A 27,489-nucleotide genomic window follows, 5' to 3' on the forward strand; every position below is an offset into this window, starting at 1 on the left:
TCCTCTCATGTTAAAAAATCAACTCCTTAATTCATATTCCTCCTAATACCACCAACTATTTTCTCTTCTCATTCAGACTTCTAGCCATAGTCTATATTTTTCGTCTTCACTTTCTTACAGCACATTTATTCTCAATTCAGTTCAAGCTAGAGGTATCACATTACCTGATTTCAAACTATACTATAAGACTACAGTAACTGGTACAAAAACAGACACATAGACCAATGGAATAGAATGAAGAAATAAAGCTGCACACATACAGCCATCTGATCCTCAACAAAGTCAACAAAAATAAGCAATGGGAAAAGTACTCCATATTCAATATATTTGTTCATTATAAATATTAAAGTGTCGTCTTTAATTAGCTACACACTAACACTTGTAAAACCATTGCTTATAAAACTATTTTTTTTAATTCGTTCATTTCCTAGTGGCTGAATTTTAGAACTTTCTTCTTTTGAATGGCCTTACTCACATAATTTGTTTGCTGCTTACAATAATAGAATTGATATATACCACAAGAGGGCTATCCCAAATTTATAAAAATGTTGTATTGTAATAGAAAATTATTGGGTTTGGGCAGCCTAGCATTCATTTATCCATCTGGAAGGAACGTTATTTCCTTTTGGGGAATAACTTCTAACCCTGTGAACACAATCTGATGGGACTGACATATCCCATACAGGATATCCCTGTATAACAAATTAGGCCAGGTAATTATATTCTCTTTTTCCAGAATATAATTTTAAAAATTTATAGCCTTTTTATTATAAAACACAGATACGGTAAAAAACACAAATATATGGTTTAGTGAATTACTACAATGCAAACAATCTTTCAACTACCATCTACATTAAGTAAAGAACTTTTTCAGCCATTTCAGAACCCCCTTCATTTAGCTCATCCCGAAGACTATTCCCTCCTTATAAAAATCATCATCATCCTGAATTTTATAGGTTTCTTCAACAAAGATAATGATAACCACAGGCCTGAAGATACTGGTAATTTAGGCTGTGGGGGACATCTTATAATCTAGTTCTGTTGTAAATGATCTCCAGATAGTTTTGCTATCTAGCTGCTTCCTCTAATTTTATGCAGGAATTCAAGAATATTTAAAAACTCTGCAGCCACCTCAACACCTTTGTCCCAGAATTCCTGAAATTGGAATCTTGAGCAGATGAATAAATGTATTGAAAACAGTTGAACACTTAGTGGAGATGTTTTAACTAAAATTTTGCTGATAAAACTTTCCTATAGTTCTTGTTTACTGATGCCCAGAGCTGCCTTGGTTCTTAATATCCTTCTGACAAATATCTTTTCACTTAAGTTAGCTAGACAGTTTCTTTTGTTTGAAAACAAAGAACCCAAACTATATGGAAACTCTTAAGTCAGTAGTAAACTTGTTTCATCTCCAACATTTAAAGATCTTAGAAGTTGTCTCTGACCTCTTTACAACAAGAACAATCTGATCTAACTAAAAAATCAATGACTCTACTTGAACCCATCATAGAACTAATGCTTTGAATCAAACCACCATCCTGAAATCTGCAGAGGCATGTTCTTCCAGAGAAATAAAGCAACTTATATCTGCTTAACTTGGAGCAGAAGTCACTGGAGACATAAACTGTTAGAAACACTTAAAAGTAATAGTTTTGATAAATTGCTGGAGGCTGAGTGTAGACTAGTGTGAGAATAAGAAACTCCTGGAGACTGCAGGTCTCACACTTTTACGGTCTGTCTGAGTCTCACCAAGTTTTCATCATGAAGATCCCAGAAAAATTCACTCTTGGTTCTGGCAGGAAAAGGGGGCTTCTAAAGGGGATCTATGTGCAAACCACATGTAGATCCTTCCCCATAACGAAGGCCTACTCTCCAGAGAAAACTTCTTTGCCAAAGTATAATTCTGATAACTTATCCCAGGTGGGGAAAAAGAATTCCTGCCCACTTCAGCCCCTTTTGGCCTTCCTATTTCATTTAAGGGTGGGGAGAGAGACCATAGTCAACTGGAGACAAGCCTTAGGAAATAGATTGACAATATTGCAGCCAGAGAGTAGAGAGTAGGGGATAAATGCTATAACACTGAAAAAAAGGACAGAAACATTGGTGAAGGCCATAGACTCAAGGCTTAGACCACTAAAAGAGTGACAGTCAATCAGAAAATTATGAAGTGCTTCTCCTCCCACATACCCTACCACCATACTGGGAAGTCTCAAATATAATAACAGTGGAATATAGCTGAAAGAGCTGCAAGACACAGACTGTCTTTGAAGAACAGTACATATGAGGTACATATGAAGACTGGAGACAAAATAAAAACAAAAATCCCAGAACACTAGAGAAATCTGAAGTCTCTGATTCCTAGCCAGATTGACATACATCTTCTTACTAAAGTCCTATTTGTATAAATAGTATAAATACAAAAACAGAACCCACACCTAAGCATATTCAGATTTCAGAAAACTAAAGACAAAGGAAATCTTGCCCAGACTTCACCATTACAATATACGTTAATGTAACAAAAACTGCACTTGTACCCCTTAAAAATTTATACCAAAAATATTAATTAATTTTTTTAAGCAAGGTGGAAAAAACACCTCACATATACAGAAAAACAGATAATAAAGCATAGCAGACTTCTCATCAGAAATGATGCAAGCAAGAAGAGAATGGAGTGAAGTATTTAAAGTGTTGAAAGAAATAAAAATCAACCTAAAATTCTATATTTAGTGAAATTATCTTTCAAAAATGAAAGAGAAATAATATCAGTAGCGTGGTAGAATATTGGAGAGATCCAAAAAACCTTCCTTCCACAGAACATCTAAAAATGTTCTATAAAATTAAATATAGTTCACTTTAATTATTGAATGAACCTGCAATAAACTAAGAGAAATCCACCAAATATAGGACTGCATCAGGAACACAAGATCAAGAAGACATGAAAACTCTAAAGCCAGCAAATTCTTGGCCAACTCTGAGTCATGGTAGGTTAGAGCTACTGTGCAGAAGACAGTATGGGAACAAAGATCATGCTGCATAAAGGTGGAGCCCTGGAAGGCCTACCATCTCAGGGAAAGAGTGAACTAGAAAAAAAAGAAACTTGAACTTGTAATCAAATAGACAACCTGTCTCAGCATTGGCTCTGGATAAAAGTTTGTTTGTTTGCTTAAGTCTCTCCACAGAAAACTGTGACCTTTTTCTGACCCTCACAAGAATTTAGGGCCTAAATCTACATTAATGGAAGGTGAAACTTAAGTGGAGTTGGGTGTGTTGTGTTTATAGGCCCCTCTCCCTAGAGGAGCGTACATTTATGCTAGCTTCAAGGAATTTCTACAGATAAAGTTCCAAGTATTATTTAATAACAATTTTAAAATCACAAACACAAAAGAAAATAAGCCATCAGAAACAGGAGTAAACAACACAGTGAATAACAAGACCCTGACATACTTCAGGTATTGAAACTATTAGACAAAAAAATTTGTTAACTATGTCTTCAGAAATATAACAGGGATTGACAAATATGAGCAATGAAAAACAAATCAATGAGACAAAACTCATCAGGAAAATTTGAAAACTAACCATACTGAACCTTCAAAAATGAAAATGTAATGAAATTTAAAACTCAATCAAAAGGTTAAAAAGCAGATTAGATACAGCTAATTAGAATTAATGAATGGATTATAAAATTGAAAAAATATTCAAATTGCAGCTCAGAGAGACAGACAGGTATAGAGAGGTTTACAAACATAGAATATAGAGTGAGAAGAGCTAATTAGCATTTCCAGGAAGAGGTCATTCAAATAAGGAGAAGTAATATTTAAAGAAATAATGACTAATAATTTTAAAAAGTTGATGAAAGACATCAATTATCATATTCAGGAAGGTCAACAAATCCTGAACAGTATAAATAAAAGAAATTCCCACCCCAACATAGAGTGAAGCTGCAAAACAACAAAGACAAGAAGAAAATCTTAAAAGCAACTAGAAAGAAATGATAGATTACCCAACAAAGGAGACACAATTAAACGACAGCTTAATTTCTTAATAATAACAATGGGCCAGGTGTGGTGTTGTGCACCTGTAGTCCCAGCTACTCAGGAAGCTGAGGTGGGAGAATTGCTTGAGCCAGGGGGTTTGAGTCCATCCTAGGCAACAGAGCAAGACCCCATTGCTTTAAAAAAAGGAGTCAGAAGATAATGAAATAATATACAATTGAAAGATCTTCTGAGAAGGAAAATAAAATAAAGACACTATCCAAAAAAAATTGAAAACAGGATTTATCACCAAAAGACTTTCACTGAGGGAACATGAAAAGAATGTACTTCAAGAGGAAGCCAGCTGATTCCAGTTGGATGTACTGAGATGCTCTTCTTAAGAAGGAATGTTGGAACTTCACTAGAACAAGACACTAATGATCCTTAGGACCACATTTACAGAAAATTGTATTTATTTCTTCCAAACGTGATTTTAGATTTACATATATTTGATTTTGCCAAGAGGTTAAAAATTCTGTAAGAACCTAGTATGCTTTCCAGGCAATATACTTTTTTAAAAAAGGTTTTTAAAAACATTACTAACAGGATGAATATAGTAGGAGAATATTTTACATTTCTGTAGTCCAAGAGACTTGCTTCTGGCTAACAAGTACATTTCTGGGAAAGCTTGCTCAATCTGAATCAGAAAGCAGAGAAAAGAAGCAGTCAGATCAGCAGGAAGAACAAATGTTGCAAATGGAAGAAAACACAGACAGATGGCTCAATCTGTGTTAGATCACACTGAACCATTGTGAAGGCAAGTAAGGACATTAATTGTTCAGAGCATGCACATAGTGAAATGGGAGGAAATTATTCATTATTTGCAGATGGATTTCCTGATACTCTACAGAAAGACTACTAACATACCTGCATAATGCTGTCCCCAGAGGAAATGAAAAGATTTGACATTTTCTCCCAAAATCGATCTTAGTTTCACATTTACAAAGAAAGAGCCTTCATTGGACTATTTATCCTTGTGGCTATTTTTATGGCTTTTTCATTGGTTTAAAGCTGAAAAATATTAGAAAAATTTGGAGTGATTTGCTTACTAAAAAGCCATATTATAAGTCCGTATTATTTCAATTGGTGCCAGATAATACTTCAGTAATTGTCATCAAAAAATGCGAGAGCTTTTTGTCAATGACAACAGTTGTGAAGAAGACAATAGTTTCTCTCATTCATGCCACATTAAAAATTAACTTTTCTACTTTTAACTTCCTTGTCCCCAGGAAGATTTGACCTCCAGAGCCAAAATTACTATTTTTAGCTACATTTATCTCAGCTGGGTATCAATAGATACCCAGTATTATCTAACTAATTTACATTACAGTGTTTCTAACTAATATTCCTTCCAGGGTTACACTTTTAAAAGAATTCTTCTTAACCAGAATGAAACACTTATTGGTAGAATGTCCAGCAACTGGCAAATTTCTAAACATCTACTGTATCAAGGTGGCATGTCAAGTCATTTAAAAAAGGACATATTTTGAGGATAATTGGCTAGCCATTTGGAAGAAAAGTAAAATTAGATCTCTACTTCAGGCCATAGACAAATACAATAAAAGATTCATGATTAATTATCATAAAGTTAAAAATAAAAGTTAAAAATTCAAAAGAAAATATAATAGGAAATGTTTTATTATTCTTTATACTAAGCCTTTCTTATGAAACAAAACTAAATAAAATTAAGAAAAATATTGAAACTTTGATTACATAAAATTTTGTGATTTTTTAAATTTTAATTTATTTTAGAGACAGAGTCTTGCTCTGCTGCCTAGGCTTGAGTGCAGTGGCACAATCATGTCACTGCAACTTTTGTTTGTCTGTTATTTTATTTTAAGTTCCAGGATACATGTGCAGGATGTGCCGGTTTGTTACGTAGGTAAATGTGTGCCATTGTGGTTTTCTGTACCTATCAACCCACTGCCTAGGTATTAAGCCCAGCACGCATTAGCTATTTTTCCTGATGCTCTCCCTCCCCCTACCCCGCCCCTCCTGACAGGCCCCAATGAATCACTGCAACTTTGAACTCCTGGGCTTAAGTGATCCTCCTGCCTCGGTCTCTCAAAGTTCTGGCATTATAGGCATGAGCCACTGCACCTGGCCTCACATAAAATTTTAAATATCATCCAGTAAGAAAGACCATATACAAAATTAAAATTATGAATGAGAAATTGAAAAGATATTTGTAACATATATGATAGACAAGGAAAGCCAGTAAAGGCAGTGTTTAAGAGCATAGGCTCAGAAATGAGATTGCATAGGTTCAGATATTAACTACACCACATCCTTAGTCTTTTGACCTTAGGCAAGTTATTTAACGTCCTTGGGCCTCAAGTTTCCTCATCTATAAGAAGGAGGTAATAATAAATCTATTTTCTTGGGTTAGCTGAGAACTATTATAATTGCCCATGATATATCAAAGGTTAATTAAATCAATAAGATAAGCGGAACTGATCTACTAGATATTGAACATGAATAAAAACCTATCTATCCATTTCATCTTATTTTCAGCTACTCCTTGGCACAAATCTTACATATCAAATTGTCCTGGTCCACATTCTCTTTAAATTGGGTGTAGATTTCTGTGATGGTTAATTTTCGATGCCAGCTTGACTGAGTTAAGGGATACCCAGCTGGTAATAACTGGTAAAGCATTATTCCTAAGTATGTCTGTGCAGCTGTTTCTGGAAGAGATTGGCATTTGAATTAGTGGACTCAGTAAGGAAGATCCACCCTCCCCCATGGATAAGCAACATCCAATTGGCTGAGGGCCTGGATAGAACAAAAGGGCAAGAGAAAGCTGAATCTGCTCGCTCTTCTGGAGCTGAGACACTCATCTTCTCCTGCCCTGGCACATCAAAACTCCAGGTTCTCTGATCTTTGAACACTGGGACTTAATCCAGCATCCCCTTACTGCCTGAAGTTCTCAGGACTTTGGACTTGGACTGAACGATGCTACCAGCTTCCCTGGCTTTCCAGCTTGTAGATGGCGTATCATGGAATTTCTCAGTCTCCAAAGTAATGTGAGCCAATTCCTATAATAACTCTCTTCTCTATCTAATCTATTAATATTTACATTTCTTATTGTTTTTCATTTACCTGGAGAACCCTAATAAAACTTCCTGTTGCATACCTTTAATGTCATCATCATTATCTCAGTCCAAAATTCTCCTTGCAGTCACTGGAAGTAAAATATTAATATCACCCATATTTTAAATTCAAACTCAAATCCTGCTTTTAATATATTATTAGTCAGCCAAAATGTTGCATTCTCTCTCTGAATTTCTAAGGAGTCTATAATACTAGTTTCTACATATAATCAAATATTGTTTTGTTCTTTCGGTGTGGAATATGTACATGTTTTATCTCCTACAGAAATTTGTAAATTTTCACAAGCAAGAATCTTCTTCTACTTCTTTAACCTCACAATGCATAGTAAGTACTTATTGTGGAAATGTTAAAATTTTTTTCTGTTTTCCATAACATTGATCTGCTACAGGCCAATCAGTGAGAATGTATATAGAATTCCCATACCCGTAATCTGTTCACCACCACCACCAACTTTCGCCCGAAACCCTTACCCTACATACACACTTAGAAAAAGAAACAAACATTTCCCAAATGGCATATGGTTCCTTTTGTTACTTGCACTTAACTAATAAATATATGAGACATGATCTGTGCTATATTTTTAGCTGAAAGGGGGAATGGGTGGAAGAGTTAAGCAGGCTATTTCAGTGTTTAAGAGAGATGATGGTGGCTTGGGCAGGATGGTAGCAGAGGAGGTCAAGATGGGATCAGGCTGGGTGTGGTGGCTCTCACCTGTAATCCCAGCACTTTGGGAGGCCCAGGTGGTGGCTCATCTGAGGTTGGGAGTTTGAGACTAGCCTGACCAACATGGGGAAACCCTGTCTCTACTAAAAATACAAAAATTAGGTGTGCATTTCTGTAACGGGTGTGGTGGTGCATGTCTGTAATCCTAGGTACTTGGGAGGCTGAGGCAGGAGAATCACTTGAACCTGGGAGGCAGAGGTTGCAGTGAGCTGAGATCGCACCACTGCATTCCAGCCTGGGCAACAGAGTGAGACTCCATCTCAAAAAAAAAAAAGAAAAAAAAAAGAGATGGGATCAGACTCCAGATACATTTTGAAGGTAAAGGCAGCATATTTGCCTGCAGACTGGATATAGTGTGAGAAAGAAAGGTCAAGGGCAAGATCCAGAATGTCAACTGCATAGCTGACTTCAGAAAATAACCAGTTCAAATCAGAGCAAATGGATGAAGAGGGCATAGGTTTCCAGATGAAATGGGCAAAATATCTTTGTTTTGAATACCTGAAAATTATATTAGTAGGCGTATAACAGATTTAGTAGAGCATATTTAAAAATTAAGAGTAGATACATAGAAAATGAACCAATAAACAAACCAGGCAATTATTAATCTTAGGAAAAAAATATTAAATATATAATAAAAGGTATATAAGCACAGGTTTATTTAGCTTTGCAGGGAACAATATTTTTATAGTATTAATAACATAAACACAGAGTAATTGATTTAGCAAAATATTGTGATAGAACTCTACTGGAAGGATGAGAGGAGGGGGAAAACTACAAAAAACTAAATAAATCCTTATTTGCCATAACAGGAAGTCAACAGATAAAGTATAAAATTATCAAATCAAGAAATAGGATTATGAACATATTATTTAGATGTGGAGGTAAATATAGAGGATACTGCTAAAAATAGTGAAAAATGATACCTTATACGGTAAGGCTAATTTTAACATGAATAATTACAGTTAACTGGAACCTCAGATATTCTTTTTTTGTTTGTTTTTGTTTAATTTTGTATTTTTTTATTATACTTTAAGTTCTAGGGTACATGGGCACAACGAGCAGGTTACATAGGTAAACATGTGCCATGTTGGTTTGCTGCACCCATTAATTTGTCATTTACATTAGGTATTTCTCCTAATGCTATCCCTCCCCCCTACCCCCACCCTGCGACAGGTCCTGGTGTGTGATGTTCCCCATCCTGTCTCCAAGTGTTCTCATTGTTCAATTCTCACCTATGAGTGAGAACTTGCAGTGTTTGGTTTTCTGTCCTTGTGATAGTTTGCTCAGAATAATGGTCTCCAGCTTCATCCACGTCCCTGCAAAGGACATAAACTCATCCTTTTTATGGCTGCATAGTATTCCATGGTGTATATTTGTCACATTTTCTTAATCCAGTCTATCACTGATGGACATCTGGGTTGCTTCCAAGTCTTTGCTATTGTGAACAGTGCCTCAATAAACATACATGTGCATATGTCTTTAGAGTGGCATGATTTAAAATCCTTTGGGTATATACCCAGTAATGGGATCACTGGGTCAAATGGTATTTCTAGTTCTAGATCCTTGAGGAATCGCCACGCTGTCTTTCACAATGGTTGAACTAGTTTACACTCCCACCAACACTGTAAAAGCATTCCTATTTCTCCACATCCTCTCCAGCATCTGTTGTTTCCTGACTTTTTAATGATCGCCATTCTAACTGGTGTGAGACGGTATCTCACTGTGGTTTTGATTTGCATTTCTCTGATGACCAGTGATGATGAGCATTTTTTTGTGTGTCTGTTGGCTGCATAACTTTCTTCTTTTGGGAAGTGTCTATTCATATCCTTTGCCCACTTTTTGATGGAGTTGTTTTTTTCTTGTAAATTTGTTTAAGTTCTTCGTAGATTCTGGATATTAGCCCTTTGTCAGATGGGTAGATTGCAAAAATGTTCTCCCATTCTGTAGGTTGCCTGTTCACTTTGATGGTAGTTTATTTTGCTGTGCAGAAGCTCTTTAGTTTAATTAGATCCCATTTGTCTATTCTGGCTTTTGTTGTCCTTGCTTTTGGTGTTTTAGTCATGAAGTCCTTGCCCATGCCTATGTCCTGAATGGTATTGCCTAGGTTTTCTTCTAGGGTTTTTATGGTTGTGGGTCTAACATTTAAGTCTTTAATCCATCTTGAATTAATTTTTGTATAAGGTGTAAGGAAGGGATCCAGTTTCAGCTTTCTACATATGGCTAGCCAGTTTTCCCAACACCATTTATTAAATAGGGAATCGTTTCCCCATTTCTTGTTTTTGTCAGGTTTGTCAAAGATCAGATGGTTGTTGATGTGTGGTGTTATTTCTGAGGCCTCTGTTCTGTTCCATTGGTCTGTATCTCTGTTTTGGTACCAGTACCATGCTGTTTTGGTTACTGTAGCCTTGTAGTACAGTTTGAAGTCAGGTACAATGATGCCTCCAGCTTTGTGGAACTTCAGAGATTCTGGTTCAATAGGTTAGAGTGGGCCCCCTGAATGTACATTTCTAGCAAGCTCACTCCTAGCCTGGGCAACATGGCAAAACCTTCCCTCTACAGAAAATACAAAAATTAGCCAGGCATGGTGGTGCACACCTGTGGTCCCAGCTACTGGGGGGCTGAGGTGGGAGGATCGTTTGAGCCTGGGAGGTGGAGGTTGCAGAGAGCCGAGATCATGCCACTGCACTCCAACCTGGGTGACAGAATGAGACCTCATCTCAAAAAGAAAAAAAAATAAATAAAAGCCTCACTGGTGATGCCAATGCTACTGCTCTTAGGTCCAAACTTTGAGAAAAACGGCCACAGAAAGTAGAACTAAGGAGTTAGAAACAGTGGAACAGAAGACACCTGTTTTTCATTATAATTATTTTAGTAGCGTGGTTCTCAAACTTGGGTGCTCATTGGAATCACCTGGGGATCTTTGAAAACTACTGATGCCTGGATACCATCCCCAGATGTTGTGATGTAATCCATCTGAGGTGCAACCTGGTGTTGGTGCTTTTAATAGCCCTCCAGGTGATTTCCATGTGTGGCCAAGCTAGAGAACTACTTTTTAAGTGCAATTTTAAGTATGTGCATAAACTAATTTTTAACATTAAAGTAATTATCTGTATAGTCTGCATGGGAGTGGGAAGACTGTCAGACGAAGAGCTGAAAGACATGGAATTATGTCTGATATGATCCTCTGCCACGAGCCAGCTCTGTATCATTGGGAAAGTCACCAAATCTATCTGGGCTTCAGTTTCCTCATGTGTAAAATTATGATGTTGTACTAGCTATTCTCAAATGTTCTTTTCAACTTCACATTTTTATGGATAATTGCTATAATGCTCTATGCTATAAAATTTTACAGCAACAAAAATACTCCATGTGGATACCAAGAGTAATTATTATTATTTAGGAAACTATATTATAAATAATTTTATTATTTTTAAGTATCTTTTTCATATATACATACCACTTATCCCCAGTGCCTATTTGTTTTACTCAGTACAATAATCAAATCACCCTAGAAAATAAAGATGAAAACAGTTGATATTAATTTATACTTGATTTCTCTAAAACATCATTTGCCAAATTGCACCCATGAAGAGGACAAAATAGTCCACCCTTGGGTTATTGTAATTTACTTTCTCAATAGTGATAATGGGCAGATTCTGACCCTTCTATTGGGCTCATATGTCTATCTACAAGGAGTACCCTTTTGCAAGATGTCCACCTCTAACTAACTTTAAGGGGGCAGTAGGAGTGTGGTCATAAAAGTTCAGGCATATGAAAGTAGAGAAAGCTCTCACTTAACATTGTCAATAGATTTTTGGAAACTGTGACTTGAAGCAAAACAACAGATAATGAAACCAATTTTGCCATAAGCTAATTGATATAAGTGAGAGTTAAGTTCCTATAGCATATTTTGGTCACAAAAATATCACCAAACTTCTAAATAAAAACCAAACACTTCTAATATTAAACATTAAAATAAATGTGAGCTATGTATAAATTCTTAAATGATTAATAAAAACAAGTATGATAATTACTTACCCAATTATTCCAGCTCAGATGGCTGGAGCCTATTTTGGCAGCTCAGGGCACAAAGCAGGAACCAGCCTGGACAGGATGCCTTTTCATCACTGGGTATACTCATACACATACTCATCACCGGGTATACTCATACACACACACACTGACACACCCACCCATGCTAGGACCATTTAGACACTCCAATTCACCTAATGTATGCATCTTTGGGATGTGGGAGGAAACCAGATTACCCAGAGAAAACTCATGTAGACATGGTGAGAACTTACCAACTCCACACAGATAGTGGCCTTGGCTGGAATCAATTTTTTTTCTCTCATCAATGTTATAATGAAACCAAGTTGAAGAAAATGAGGTTATTCAAGGACCTGCTGTAATTGTTTGGAGTGGTGGCTAAACTCCCTGGTGACTCCTCATTACTCAAAGGTCTTACCCTGATTATCCCGGAGACCTAGAATAATTGTGCTATAAATTCTCAATCATGACGCCGGGCGCAGTGGCTCACGCCTGTAATCCCAGCACTTTGGGAGGCCAAGGCGGGCGGATCACAAGGTCAAGAGATCGAGACCATCCTGGCTAATGCTGAAACCCTGTCTCTACTAAAAATACAAAAAATTAGCCAGGCGTGGTGGCGGGCACCTGTAGTCCCAGCTACTGGGAAGGCTGAGGCAGGAGAATGGCATGAACCCAGGAGGCGGAGCTTGCAGTGAGCTGAGATCGCCCCACTGCACTCTAGCCTGGGCGACAGAGTGAAAATGAGTCTAAAAAAAAAAAAAAAAATTCTCAATCATGAATACTAACAAAGAGAGATTTGGGGAATGAGGATTGATATAAATAATCCAAGGGATTTTATATTGACTTCAAAATACACTATACAGAGAGAACTTCCAATTTGTCTTTAGAATTATGTTTTCCTTAGAATAATTTAAAATCAGTTATCATTTTTTGAGTCAATAGAGATAACTGGTGTTGCATAGGTAGAGAAGGAAAACTGGTCTGAAACAACAAAAATTAGTTGCTCATAATTACAGATGGATTATCAAGAATAAGTTATTTATTAAAATAAACATATTCATGCACATGTGTGTTTGTCCGTGACTTTGACCTCTTGCCTTTTAAGGAACTTTTTTGCTCAGATGGAAATCATAAGCTAAAATAAAAGGTGAATTCTAAAATGAAATGAGGTCAGAGCCATGTGCCATGATTTTGCAGGTAGTTAAAAATGAACTGAGAATTCACCATCTGGTGAGAGGCATCTTGGGGAAGCAGCCACCTTCTGTTGGAAATAAATGACATGAAAGCTTGTCGAGCTATTTATTCTTAAGTAGTTGTGACCGTGTTTTGCTCCTCCACTGAAATGAGCTCAACTTTTGATCTCACACTTTTAGAATGGATATTCTTAGCTAACAGTGAGACTAATCAATTAATTTGTGCCAACAGAGAAGTTGTAGGAGACAGTCCCTTCTCTCAACCCTTAAGTTTGCCTAACTTTTCTAGGTAAAATAAGAACATGTTATCAGAATTTAAACCCTTCTAGTCTACCCAACTAGAAACGCTAATTGATAAATTTCAGGTGAGGTAGGAGAGAAGATCAGCACTAAAAAGAAGAAAGATTGGTGGTCTAGTAGGATCTTGCAACTGCCCTGAAATCACAGCATCTATGCATAAAGACTAGAAAATACACACTTACCTTTTAGTATATGTGCTACTGAAGTGAACACTACACTTACTTTTAGAAAGCAGTTTGTAAATAGAGGTATTGGCTTTCTTTACAGAAAACCTTTGAGAGTCACTCAAAATCATTTTGAAAGAGATTTATAAATAATATTTTAAAGGTAACCTCAATGAATGAAAATAATGCTAACTCATATGTGTATAGCATTTACAAATACTTTCAAAGACTGAATTTTATTCTTTATAACAACTGTGTGAGATAGGTAAAGTAAGTAAAAGCACTGTTTTACAAAGGAAGGAACCGAGATTCAAAGAGATTAAATAGAGTACTAGAAATGGTATAGCTAGTACATAACAGGAAGAGAGGGAGGTGAAAGGGCTTATATTCAAGCAACTATAATAACCACCACCACCACCACCATTTACTGAACACCCACCATGTTCCAGTGATTATGTTAATCATTTTAAGGATATTATTGCATTTATTAAAATATTATTTCTTAAAAAGGAAATAAAAAGTAGGACAATTTCTTGCAAAAAATTTTAATTCAGTAAAACAACTTAAGGCAGATAATGATGATGATAACTATCATTTGTTGAACAGCTATTTGCTAGACACTGTTAGGCACTTAATCTAGATTTTATCTAATTCTCACAATTACCCAACGAGATTACTATTATGTATTTCATTTTACAAATCAAAAATATGAGGCACGGAGGGATTAACTGACTTGATCAAGACTACACAGCTGGTAAGTGATGGAACATACTATTATATGTGGTAACAAACATTGGTTACATGGAATTATTTACTCTTTCTTCTTAACTGCCATGAAAACTTACCTATCATAGACCTAACTACATAACTGGTATTTTATTTTTAATCTTTTTTTTTTTATTATTATTATACTTTAAGTTTTAGGGTACATGTGCACATTGTGCAGGTTAGTTACATATGTATACATGTGCCATGCTGGTGTGCTGCACCCACTAACGTGTCATCTAGCATTAGGTATTTTAAATAATTATTTTTGTTTCCCATAATTTTACTTAAGATCCTTGATGTGGACAATCTTTCTCCTACCCTTGGATTAAAACTCAGGTAGACCCCATATTTTTTCTGGCCACTCTTGGGTAAAGTCCTACGATCATGTTAAGTCACAAATATAGTCTGAGTATAGTAATTATAAGTGTACAATAATAGATAATGATCAAAACTCCAAAATTGTTTTAATGTTAAAGTCTTCCTGCCTTTTGCAACATGGGCCAGCAGAGGCTGGACACAGGCAAGTTGGAAGTGAGTGCAGTCCTCCTTCCTGTCCCTGCTGTTTCCCCTAGTTTATTAACTATGATTTTTGATTTTCTGTTTCCACCAGAGTGAAAGTTGGGATGGGGAGGGGAGAAGAAATAAAAGGATGAGAAAGTTTTTACATGACTGTTATTGTTGTAAGGTGACTCTGTGCTCTCTGGGACTGGAAGACATATAATTTGACATTTTTATCCCCCCATGGGCCATTTTTATTCGCTCTTTGGAAATCTCTGTTGAGGGCCTCTCAACTACCATTTTCTTGATCTGGCTGAATGGATTTTATTCTGGCAGCTAATTCTTCTAGAATCCTTCAGCTCACCTCCACTTCCTTCCTTCTGAGGTCCCATCACCCTTCTAAGCAGTACCATTGAACAGAATCTAATACAAATGCAATATGAACTGAGACAGATTGTCTCTAAAGCTAGCCATAACACTCTCTCCTCAACCCCTTGCTCTTTTGTAATGTGGTTTCCACTCTTCCCATAAGGAGATGAAGTCTATTTTCCTTTCTTTTGAAACTGGGACCATCCCAATAAAATGCAGCAAAAGCTATGCTTTGTGACTTCCAGGCCTACATCTTAAGAGATCTTGCAGCTTCCATTTTTGCCCCTTTGGAGTTCTGAGTCATCATGCATATTAGTCCAACTACCCTGCTGGAGAGAGAGGCTCAGCCAGATCCCAGGTGTTCCAGTCATGCCAGCTGAGGCACCAGGTATGGAGTGGACATTTTAGATACCCCAGGAACACAGAGAAGAGAGATCCCAGCCAACACCGCAGAGACAAGCCAGCCCTGAGCCTACCCCAAATTGCAAAATTGTGAGCATATAAATTATTGCTTTTATTTTAACCTTCTATATTTTGTGGTAGGTTTTTATTTTTTCTTATTTTTTATTTTAGCAGCAGTATATAACTGATAAAAGGCTATCTGGTCTACAGTAAACACTCCTGTATTCCTGATCACACATACTTTGGGAGGGCAGAGAACTCTCCTTCATTTTGCTGCTCATGTTGTTTGTCAACCCATCTCAAAGATTTCCTAAGTAGAGTCAAACAGCAACCCAATAAAGTTAAACATATACTTAACTTATTGACCCATAAATGCCACTCCTAGCACAAGAGAAGTTGAAGACATGTTCACATAAAGACCTATTTACAAATGCTTAAAATAGCTTTATTCATAATTACCAGAAACTGGGAGGAATCAAAAAATTCATCAACTGGTGAATGGATAAACAAATTGTCATTCATCCATGAAATTACTGATGCATGCAACAACATGGATGAGTCTCAAAAGCAATATGTTAATTGAAAGAAGGAAGATACAAAAAGCTACATATTATTATATAATTTCGTTCATATGACATTCTGAAAAAGACAAAACTAAATGGGCAAAATTCAAACCAGTGTTGGTTAGCATCTGGGAGTATGAGAAGGGTATTAACTTCAAAGTGGCACCAGATAACTTTTTTGTGTAATGATGTGGTATTTTTTACATGACTGCGTACATTTGTCAAAACTCATACCTAACTTAAAAGGTTAATTTTACTGTGTGTATATTATACCTCAATAAACCTGACTTAATAAATAAAATCCACTAATGCCCTTCAACCATGGTTAACACATATCAAGCTATATAAGTAGTCTTATGGAAACCCCTGTCACCGGAATTGAGTGCCAGCTTACCCAATCCATTTGGGTGGTGAAGGTTGGTAATTACAGTATAGCATAGCTCTCTCTAAATTAATCATCCTCAAAAATCTCTTCAACCTTCCAAAAAGCCAAACATTTCGTGCTTTTTTTTTTTTTTTTTTCAGAGACAGGGTCTCACTCTGTTGCCCAGGCTGGAGTGCAGTGTGGTGCAATCGTAGTTCACTACAGTGGACTACAGGCACACACGAGCATGCCCAGCTAACTTTATTGTTTTCCAAATTCTTTTTACAGGCAAGTCTCACTACTGCTCAATCTGGTGTCTAACTCCTAGCCTCAAGTGATCTTCCCACCTTGGCCTCCCAAAATGCTGGGATTATAGGCATGAGCCACTGCTCCTGGCCTTTTTATGCACTTAATAAGGATGAGTCATCTAACATATTTTTGACTGTTTCCTTTGAAAATTTGCATCTGGATTATCATATCCTCTGGAATGTGCCCTCTGTTGTATCTTGGTGTCTCAATTGAAATTTGTGGTATTTATATACATTATAAAGTAATGCTACATAGAGAAACATGATTATTTTTATGTCAGTTTCTAGGAAATAATTATCTACCCACATATTTACCATTTGAAAAGCTCTTCATTCTTTCTTAAATATCTGAATTTCCATCTGTTACCATTTTCCTTCTGCCTGAAGAACTTCCTTTTGTATTTTTTGCAGTGTAGGTCTGCTAGCAATAAACTCTCTTGGTCTTCTTTTGTCTTTACTTTTCATTCTTTTCTCTTAGAAACTCATAGTGAGCATATAACATTACTACTATCCAGGCATGTTGCTATTCAGGTTTTATGAGGTTTCTGTGAGTAAGTGACTGTTTCAGCAATGGGTAAAAACACAGTCTAAACTGAACAAAACAAAACAAAACAAAATGCACACTTTTAAAATGTATTTTGATGTTCATCAAAGGTTTAGGGGGAAAGGAATCCTGCTCTAGCATAACAGACTAAAAAAGTCTTCTAAATCTGAGATAAGACCACATTTCTGAGAACAAAAGCTAACTTCCTCACTGATTTAAAATTATGTTTTGTATTCTCTAATTCTGGAGCAAGTTATCAATAAGATGTGTCTTTTAGGATGATTTGCAGGACTTTAGGAGTAATTATTAATGAGCTTTTGCTGTTTACAAGTGTGTGTGTGAAGGTGTGTGTTTGTATATATAAACCAAATTTAATGCACAATAATTTTTGAGTAGGTAAATGATTGTCAACTATTTTATTTTACCTCTTTACAAAAATTAAAAATTTTCTCTAATGGGATGAGTTTTACAATAATATTTAAAAATCAAGAAACCTCAAATCTAAAAAATAAGGAGATTGAGGCTCCTTGTTTATACAGTGATTACCATTTTATAGATAAGAACACTGAGGCTTACAGATTTTATGTAACTTGCTTAAGTCACAAATCTAGTAAGTGTTAGAGGTAAGAATCAAATCTAGGTTTATCATATGACTAAGCAAGTGTTCTTCATCTTTACCCCCTCTGATTTCCTATCTTCTTTGACCTTACATGTTAGCAGTAAAAAACAAACAAACAAACATATATTGGTACATATGTTCTACTAGAGTAACATTTTGTGAATATATTATGCACATTGTAAAACATGCAAAAATGGAAACTATAAGGGGATAAGAAAACAGAAATAGAAATAGAAGCACAAGTAGTTTTTTCACATACCCCACGGATCATCTAATACATGCCCTAGGTACTGAGTGTCCACTCTAGAGAATGTTGCTTAGATTCTCTGAAAATTATTTGATTTTTAAAATGAAAATATTATTCACAGCTTTTGCCAAATTTAGATGTACTATGTTTGAACTTGTGATTTCCTAGGCAAGTATATTCCAATCTAATTTAGCAGGGAGACATAGTATAGAGTGAGAATAGCAGCTGGAAGAGATTGCTACAGAGAGCAGAGGGAGGTAGAATAGAGATGGAAGAACATTTGTAGACATTCAAACGTAAGCAATCTGTGTTTGTGTACAAAATCAGGCTAATTAACAATTTAAAACAGAACAGGTTAGAGTCCTTTTTATAACATAAATACACATTAGGAATATATATATATATAGTTTCTATAACATAAATAAATGATATTATATATGTATATACAATTATATGAAAGATAGAAAGTTGGTCACATTATGCCCAATAGCAGCCATTATTTAAAATTGAAAATATGTTTAGAAATAACACAGGCATAGGAATGTTACCCCCAAAAAATCAACTAACACTGAATCTATAATTATACTATTATGTTAAACCACATCTTTAAACATAGAAAGTCCATCAAGATTGTTTCACAATCATCTGCCTAGATTTCTTGGTCATTTATGCCATCTGATTTTCATAAGATGACACAGATAAAACTCATATATTTGAAGAATGCAAACTCATAAAATTGTTATGTATCTGAATAAATTTTGTTTTTGTTTCTTCTTCTATTAACATTAGGTTGTTATTCTTTTTTTTTTTTTAGTATTTATTGATCATTCTTGGGTGTTTCTCAGAGAGGGGGATGTGGCAGGGACATAGGATAATAGTGGAGAGAAGGTCAGCAGATAAACACGTGAACAAAGGTCTCTGGTTTAACATTATGTTGTTATTCTTTGACTCCCAATTATATTTTTCTTCATCCTTTTTGGATTATTTATCTTTTGGGAATGATACAAGGGAGAGGAGACGGAAGAAACGGCACCTCTAATATCTCAGGATCTTGAAATTTTATATAGCCTTCAACTTAGACTTTTCTTTTACTCAGACTGATCCTTAAACTCTAAGTTAACACATTTTAGGGTTTCTTTTCAAATTGAAACCAGAAAATTCAGACCCAAGGACTTGACATCTCTGTGTAGGAGAGAGAGGTTCTCACAAAACGGTACAGTATACATCTATAATTCATGGGAATTTCCTAAGGAATTCCTAAGAAATACCAGCTAAATTTCCTAAGAAATACCAGCAAATATAATCATAATCATCTATCCCATTAACTAAAATCTCAGCCTACAGTGCCTAAACCCAGATATTTCATGACAAAGGATAATATACAGACTATCTTTCCTCCAAGCCTCAAATTTCCTGTTCTTATTATGTATCTTTCTTCTTACAATGATTGTTTTAAAGAACCATCTTTGAAGTCCTTTGAGATGCAACTTATCATTTCTGCTCTAGATTTTCAAATATTAATAGAAAATACTGTTTCTTTGGCATTATCTGAAAGAAGCCAGTCTATGGAAAAAGTAATTGTGACCATTGTTTTATTCTTTTAATTTATCTCTTGTGTTAAAGAAACAGGCCATGCATTGACCATGCACAGAACATAACAATGAACATTGTTTTGATCATGAAAACTAGGCATTGAAAACCACCTTGATTTCATTAAGCTTAAACTTAATTGTACCCTTTGCAAGGATTCCAGGCAAACATGCCTTCTGCAATGCTATATTTGGAGTGGGCATATGCACCAGATATATTGCTTCTGCTTTTTCCAAGGCTGTAATAACTACATGACAAGTTATATTTTTTAATACCTAAATTACTCCTGAGAAGAAAACTCTGTGCCAAAAAAACTAACAGCTTTAATTCTTCATATCAATGACATATAAAGTTATTAAATTACTATTAATTGACAGGCATTTAGCACATTGCATGGTTTTATTTTTTGAAGTTTGTTCTGTGTTTCTTCATACTTCCTCACATTCATATAATATTAAACCTGCACCACAAACACCAACATATGCCATTTAAAACATAAGTGAACTAGATACATCATTAATCTTATTATTCAGATTAGATGTAATGCAGCATATACTTATTTACTCATTTTTATTTACACTCCAAGTCCTTTCACAAAGAATTTAGACAGCCACATAAAAATTGTAGCATCTACAATATAAAAACTGAGAGCCAACAGTTTTTGTATTTTGGCAGATACTAAGTAATCTTAGTTAATTGTGGTAGACACAAACAGTGGTAGATACTAAGTAAAGCTACATTTTGCCATGGGTGATTGTATTTTAAAACTTTACCACATTGCTTTTAAAAAGCAATTTCTACTAAATAATAGAATCCTAGTGGGTATCTGAATCACCAATATAAATGGGGTTAATACATGCATGATGATATGGCTTAGCAAAATTTAGTTGCTAACACATTGTTAGCTGCTTACAGGGTTTATTTTAATAGCAGCTGGAAATATTAATGATGTTAAAAAGCAGTCATGAGGCCAAGCTGAGGCAGCTTAAAAGATTTGGCTCTCTCCACTTCATGCATAATTTTCATTAACCCTTAATGTTACCAAAGTAACCTACAATCTTAGTAAAAACATTTCCTATGTAAATCTTGCCTTAGCACCTTCTTTCAGATTGCCTCCATAAGCCCTTCCTATATAGAAACTTTGGAGCCACCACTAGGATTCTGCAAAATCAGAGGTTCAAATATGTCAGCCTCAGTTCAAATCTCTATTTACTCCCAAATCTCTCTGCTTTCAAAGAGTAACTAAAAGAAGAAAAGCACTTTGAAGTTAAAGAAAAAATAAAATTCTGGTAATTGAATTGTTGTGGGAGTGGAGAATGCATATTAAAATATTTGCTATAGACCAATATAAAGTCTAAGTAGAGAGAGGCATGAACTTAGTATAGATCCAAAAATCATTACTGATATAGGTCTAATATTGTGTTGGTGGTGTCTTTTTCAACAGCAACCTGTGTTTATGGTTTGAGTTGACTCAAGGTTTTGAAGTTGTTATGTACGTAAATACTTCTGTTGGAATTCCCTAACTTCTGTCCTTGGTCCATACTTCTTTTCATTCTATTCACTCTTCCTGGGTAATTTTTAATATTGTCATAATTGTAACTACATCCATATCCTGTTAACTACCAAAATCTGGGCATTTAATAGAAACTTCACACACATATGCAATCACTTCCTAGAATCTCCACTACGTATCCCATACATGTCTTCAATCTCGACCTGTCCAAAACTAAACTCCTGTTATCTTCTCTAAACCTATTCCTCCTCTTATAATTATTCCTTTGTTGGCACCCCATCCATCTGATCATCTGTGTTAGAAACTTTTAATCTTTTCTACCCCTTACCTCCCTATATCAATCAATCACCAAGTTCGGTCAATCTAACCTCCTAAATATTTTTAAATTCTTTTTGCTTCCCTGGGCTACATTGGCAGAAGAATTGTCTTGGGCCACACATAAAATACACTAACACTAACAATAGCTGATGACCTTTAAAAAATCGCAAAAAAATTATCTTAATGTTTTAAGAAATTTTAGAGTTTGTGTTGGGCCACATTCAAAGCCATCCTGGGCCACATTCAGTCCATGGGCCATGGATTGGACAAGCTTTATTTAAACTCTTAATGATTCCCTAAAGATTTGTGCACTACTTCCCAAAGTAATTCTCAGAACTCTGGCCCCAAAAGATTATCTCTGATAAGTGTTTAAGTGTTTCATGGTCAGAAACTGTATAGTATATTCCTGTTTTGGAGATTCACAATATGCATTAGCATATTTAAATTTTCAAGAGACTCTACATTAAAGAAGTCTTGTTGGTATGTTTTCCAAGCTTTTTCCCACAGAATTTTCCTGCTAGGAATAAATGATTCCATCAAGTATCTGCTAAGGAAAGCTCTTTAACATGTCATATGAAGCCTTCCATGATCTGGCTCTGCTGGATTCTTCAGCCATCATTCCCCTGACTCCACATGTCCCACTCTATTCTTTACTCCCACTGAAGCACTTTCTCAGCATTTGGCCCTAGCTGAAGCTGCTGCTTCCCCCTTCTATCATTCTTCAATACTTGTTTCAAAAGTCACTTCCTGCAGAAAACTTTTTCTAACCCTTCCTATATGTTTCCATAGCCTTCTCCATGCTTGCCTCTTTTATTATTACACTTACCACATTTTTACTGAAAGTAACTATTTAATGAATCTTTCTCTCCCCCTACCAAACCTCTTGAAGGAAGTGGTTATGTTTCTTTCGTCTTTGTACTTCCAGCATAAGCACATGCTATGGCCTGAATGTTTGTGATCCTCCCAGATTCATGTGTTGAAACTTAATCTCCAATGCAATGGTATTAAGAAGTGGGCCTCTGGGAGGGGTGATAGGTCGTGAGGGCTCTGTCTTTATAAATGGGATTAGTGCCCATATAAGAGGCTTGAGGAAACCTGTCTGCCCCTTCTGCACATGAGAACTCAGTGAGAAGACCATCTCTGAAGCACAGAGTGAGCCCTCACCAGGTAATAAATCTATTGGCACCTTTATCGTGGACTTCCCAGCTTCCATAACTGTGAGCAATAAATTTCTGTTGTTTAGAAATTAACCAGTCTATGGTATTTTTGTTATAACAGCCCAAACGAACTAAGACAGAGATATACTTGACATTTAGTAACGACTGAAATGAAATAAATAGTGCCTGGCTCATGTAGCAGGTACCCATAATTAAATGCCATGGACATTAGTTATTAATAAGTCATAAAAGGTTTTCCTCAACCATAAGCAACTATTTGAAAGTTTTTGAATATAAAATCAATGCGTCCAATTTTGACTTTATATCTCATGTATTCAATGAGTTCTTATAATCACCACAGTGCCTTCACAAATGTTGTGGTGCTCCTTTCACTTCTCTGATAGCACATACGATGTTGTTCTATAAATCTGAAAAGTTGCGGCATTTCATTGAGTTTATTTTTAAGCAAATATTTGAGATGGACAGAACTGAGTAGGCAAAGGAAAGAGGATGTGGTCAAGGATTCCCTGAATTGGTTCATAAAGGGATATAGTGAGGTAAATTAATGCTGACACAGTGCCCTCTGTCAAAACAGCCTGCTGGCCTAGGAAAATGATCACAAGCAGCATATGTGCTGGTTAGGGAAGAGAAAAGCAGTCCAGATGGCTGATTTTTAAGCAGCCAGACTTAGAAAGAAAAGGGGAAAATTTGTATCCAGGTCATTCCTAACTCTTCTCCTGGGAGATCATCTAAAGTTGTTGCTTTTAAGTTCCCAGGAATTCTGCCGATAAATACTCACTACCTCATTGTAAAGCTGTGAGCAACCCCTTAAAACTGGAGACTAGATGGATGTTTACTAAAAAGTATGCTAAAGTATCCTTTATTCCTCTTGCTTCTGTTCCCTTTTATGTCTCATCATCACTGATGATTTCTACTATACTTATGCAGAACAATTAACCCCATACTTACTGGTGATTTAGTGAGAGTTTGTGTATTTGGATCCTTTAATTTCTCTGGGTAAGTTAGCCTTTAATTTAAATACCTCTTTCAATCTTTAATGGATTCCTTCTACCATGAAATACAGGTATCTGCTGAAAAGGGCACCTCAATTACTCCCTCCAGCTGTGCAGAAAGGGTCCTTTTCTTGTCCAATGGCATATGATTTCTGAAAGAATCTCTTATTTTATAGCAATCACAGTGCTGAATTTCATCATGCCATTACTTATGCAATTGAAAACAGACTGCTATGTGTTCTCATAAAGACACTTTGTGAGAATTTTAACCCTATGAATTCCAAAACTGTGAGAGGATTTTAAAAAATTGAACAGCACTGGCTCTGGTCCCCTGGGACATCAAGAGTACTCATAAAAATTAGAGTCTCTCCTAGACTACCTGGATATGGGTTGTTGCTGTGCCCTGATTGCTCTTTTCTAAACCTATATATTAGCAAGACTTTATTAAGAAAAAAAAATCTGTTTTTTTCTTTATAAAACAAGAGAAAAGCATAATAGACAACAGAAGGCAGACAGAGCAATTCCTTTTTTTCTCTCTTTTCAATTCCTTCTCTTTTTTTCCTTAATTTATGTGAGATCTGAGATCCTAAGGATACTATCTGTACCTTCACATTGTACTCAGTCATTTTATATGTAACTCATCCTTTTACATGTTTACTTTGATACTATCTCCAATCCTATACCCAAAATGTTTATATCTCCAAAATAATAATGGAAATCTTTCCATTCTGATTTTGAGATGGAAAATTTATGCAAATGTATATTAAGTACATAGTTCTTTTTGTGTGGGGTATTTTTTTCCTCCATTCAAAATTGTAATCTTGTATGATTTTGCAAACTATTATAATTCCCTCCCCCCACCATTTAAAAGTCATTATCATTTTCTATCTCTAGAATTTCTGGCACCCATTTCCATTCCAAGCTATTAGGTTGCTTTTGAAGTGATGTCCCACTGCATCTTCCTGGCATATATGTCTAAACTTGTATTTATTTTACTTCTCTGTTCTTGTTCACATTGACAATGCCTCCGAAATTAGGTCACCAATGGATTTCATTATCTTGCCCTTTGCCTTCTTTGAGTCAAGATATGGAATAAAACATCCAATAAAGTAAATGTGACCTTATCCTGACTCCTATAACACTCAACCAGGCATCTTCACACAACAGACTCATTCTTTGTCTATGGCTAAGAAATATTGCCCAAATCAGTTGAAGTCAGATTTTAAATGATACACATCATCCCATATCAAAAAATGCCGCAGGGCCAGGTGCAGTGGCTCATGCCTATAATCCCAGCACTTTGTGAGGCTGAGGAGGGCGGATCACTTGAGGTCAGGAGTTCGAGATAGGGCTGGCTAACATGGTGACACGCTGTCTCTACTAAAAATACAAAGATTAGTCAGGCATGGTGGTGTGCACCTGTAGTCCCAGCAACTCAGGAGGCTGAGGCAGAAGAATCGCTTGAACCTGGGAGGCGGAGACCGCAGTGAGCCCAGATCACGCCACTGCACTCCAGCCTGGGCAACAGAGCAAGACTCTGTCTCAAAACAACAAAAAAGCCTCACAGCCCAGATAAGCAAAATCTACATTACCTTCTTTTGTTCAACAATTTTAGGGAGAAAATTATTTAGTATAGTTGACACAATCCACTTTTTATAAAAGACAACATGGCTTGCAATTCCATTCCATTTAATGTTTACACATTTTCTCCCAGTGGTTGATGTGAGACTTGCTAGGATTTTTCTTTTCTTTGCTTGCTTGTTTTTTTGCCTTGCTTTGTTTCATGTATTTATGGGCTTTGAAGGTGTGTATCTAATACCTGGACTTGGGACAACTTTATATTGTGGAAAATCCATTAGATCAGCTAAGAGACCTGGGTTTTTATCTAGTTATAATCTTGGTTAAGTCAACCAAGTTATCAAGACTTAATTTTTTTTACCTGTACAATAAAGGCATTAGATTTGGATTTATTGTATCTGTATGTGTTCTGACTTTATGAGTGCATTTTAAAAACTTACCTTCCTTTGGACTGGTCTCCTAGGACAAGACTGAACAGGGGCTACCAATGCAAATTGACTTAGGGGCCTTTGAAAGATCCATTTACCACAAAGCATCCACAAACCTCTGCCTTCTTCCTCATTTGGCTTTAAATTCCATCTTAAAGAGTTGTCAGCATGTATGAAAGCCAAGGAAGAGGTAAAGTCTCCAGAAGGCCCAGATTAACTATTATGTATATTTTCCCTGGGGATGGTTTACTTACCATGTCCCTTTACTGGGGGTTAATTTCTTCAACTACTGAAGTGACTGAAATTTGAAGGTATGAAGGGCAAAATAATAAACATACCTTGTATAGGTAAAGAACTTTAAACCTTACAAGGGATTTTGACTTCTATCTCAATGAAGGAACAAGCAACCAAGAACCACAAAAATCACTGGCCACTGACAAATGACACTTCAAGAGGAATACAGGCTTAATAGCTGCGAACACAGGTTCGTTGAACAAATGAATAATTTTGAATGATTCTTGCATCTCCATTTGGTATTGTCCTTCCTTTTTCTTCTTTTTTCTTTCACTTCTACCCACCTACCAACCTCACAAAGTGTCCAGTACCTCACCCTAGAATAGGTGATACCTCTAGGATACCTCACCATAGAATTCTGACTAGAATTAACCCTACACAGTCAGCTCTATAACTGTAGAGTATTACCCACACCACCAAAATATTCTTCATCAGAATGTCCTGAGTTTGATACAGTAATCCATGCTTATATGTCAATGGATGCTCCCCTCCTGGATCAAATAAGGTAGGTTTCATAGGAAGAGAGACAATAGAGCTTTAAACAAATGGAGTTGACTTACAAAAATTTTAACGTCCAATGCAGCCAGTGAGGGAGATCCTTTGAGGCATTTAGGAACCTGTAGCAATCTTTAAATCATAACAGAATAGAAAAGAAGACCTACGAATAGAATAGGCTTACTATATTGAATAATATGTAAATTCATATACCTTTCACCATACCTTGCCTTCTTACCTTCTATCCTCCAAATTTGTCAAACTGAAGACATTAAAGTTGGTAAATATATTTATGACAATTAGTCTTACTACTATGATTAACTAGTTTCAGATTCTGACCAGCGCTTATATAACATAACTCCCCAATCCTGAATTTTCTCATTGTGCTATTCGTCTGATTACAAAAGAAAATATATTTTTGTAAAAATTTAGAAAATATAGAAAGTTTAAATAAGAAAATGGCAGTAAATCAAACGCATAATCCAAATAGCCAGAAAGAACCATTATTAATATCTAGATATATTTCTTCTCAGTCTTTCCCTAAAAACTATAATTATAAAAATATATACACATATAATATATACTTGCCTAATTTAATCAATATCCTAAAAATAAACGTTTATCTGTCCTACATATGTAACATAGTTTATGTAATAATTTTCCTGTTCTTAGACATTTAAATTATTTCAAAATTTTAATTATAAGAAACAGTGAGCAAAACATGATGATATAAGAAATTTTATTATCATCTCTACTTATTTCCATAAAAAATCCTGTAAATGCAACTATTGGGTAACAGAATATAAATATTTCAAGACTTCTCATAGTTTACTAAAATTACACTCA

At 35.7% G+C, this 27,489-nt stretch overlaps 1 long non-coding RNA gene across 1 annotated transcript; it reads left to right on the forward strand.

Annotated features, from left to right (window-relative positions):
- Positions 1-6,845: 6,845 nt before the first annotated feature.
- On the forward strand, positions 6,846-27,270 carry LINC02821 (long intergenic non-protein coding RNA 2821). Its single transcript, XR_945070.3, has 3 exons — positions 6,846-7,057; positions 7,410-7,469; positions 26,252-27,270. It is a non-coding gene; the product is annotated as a long intergenic non-protein coding RNA 2821 (long non-coding RNA).
- The last annotated feature ends 219 nt before the right edge of the window (positions 27,271-27,489 follow it).

Source organism: Homo sapiens, chromosome 12, assembly GCF_000001405.40.
Source record: "Homo sapiens chromosome 12, GRCh38.p14 Primary Assembly".
Taxonomy (NCBI): domain Eukaryota; kingdom Metazoa; phylum Chordata; class Mammalia; order Primates; family Hominidae; genus Homo; species Homo sapiens.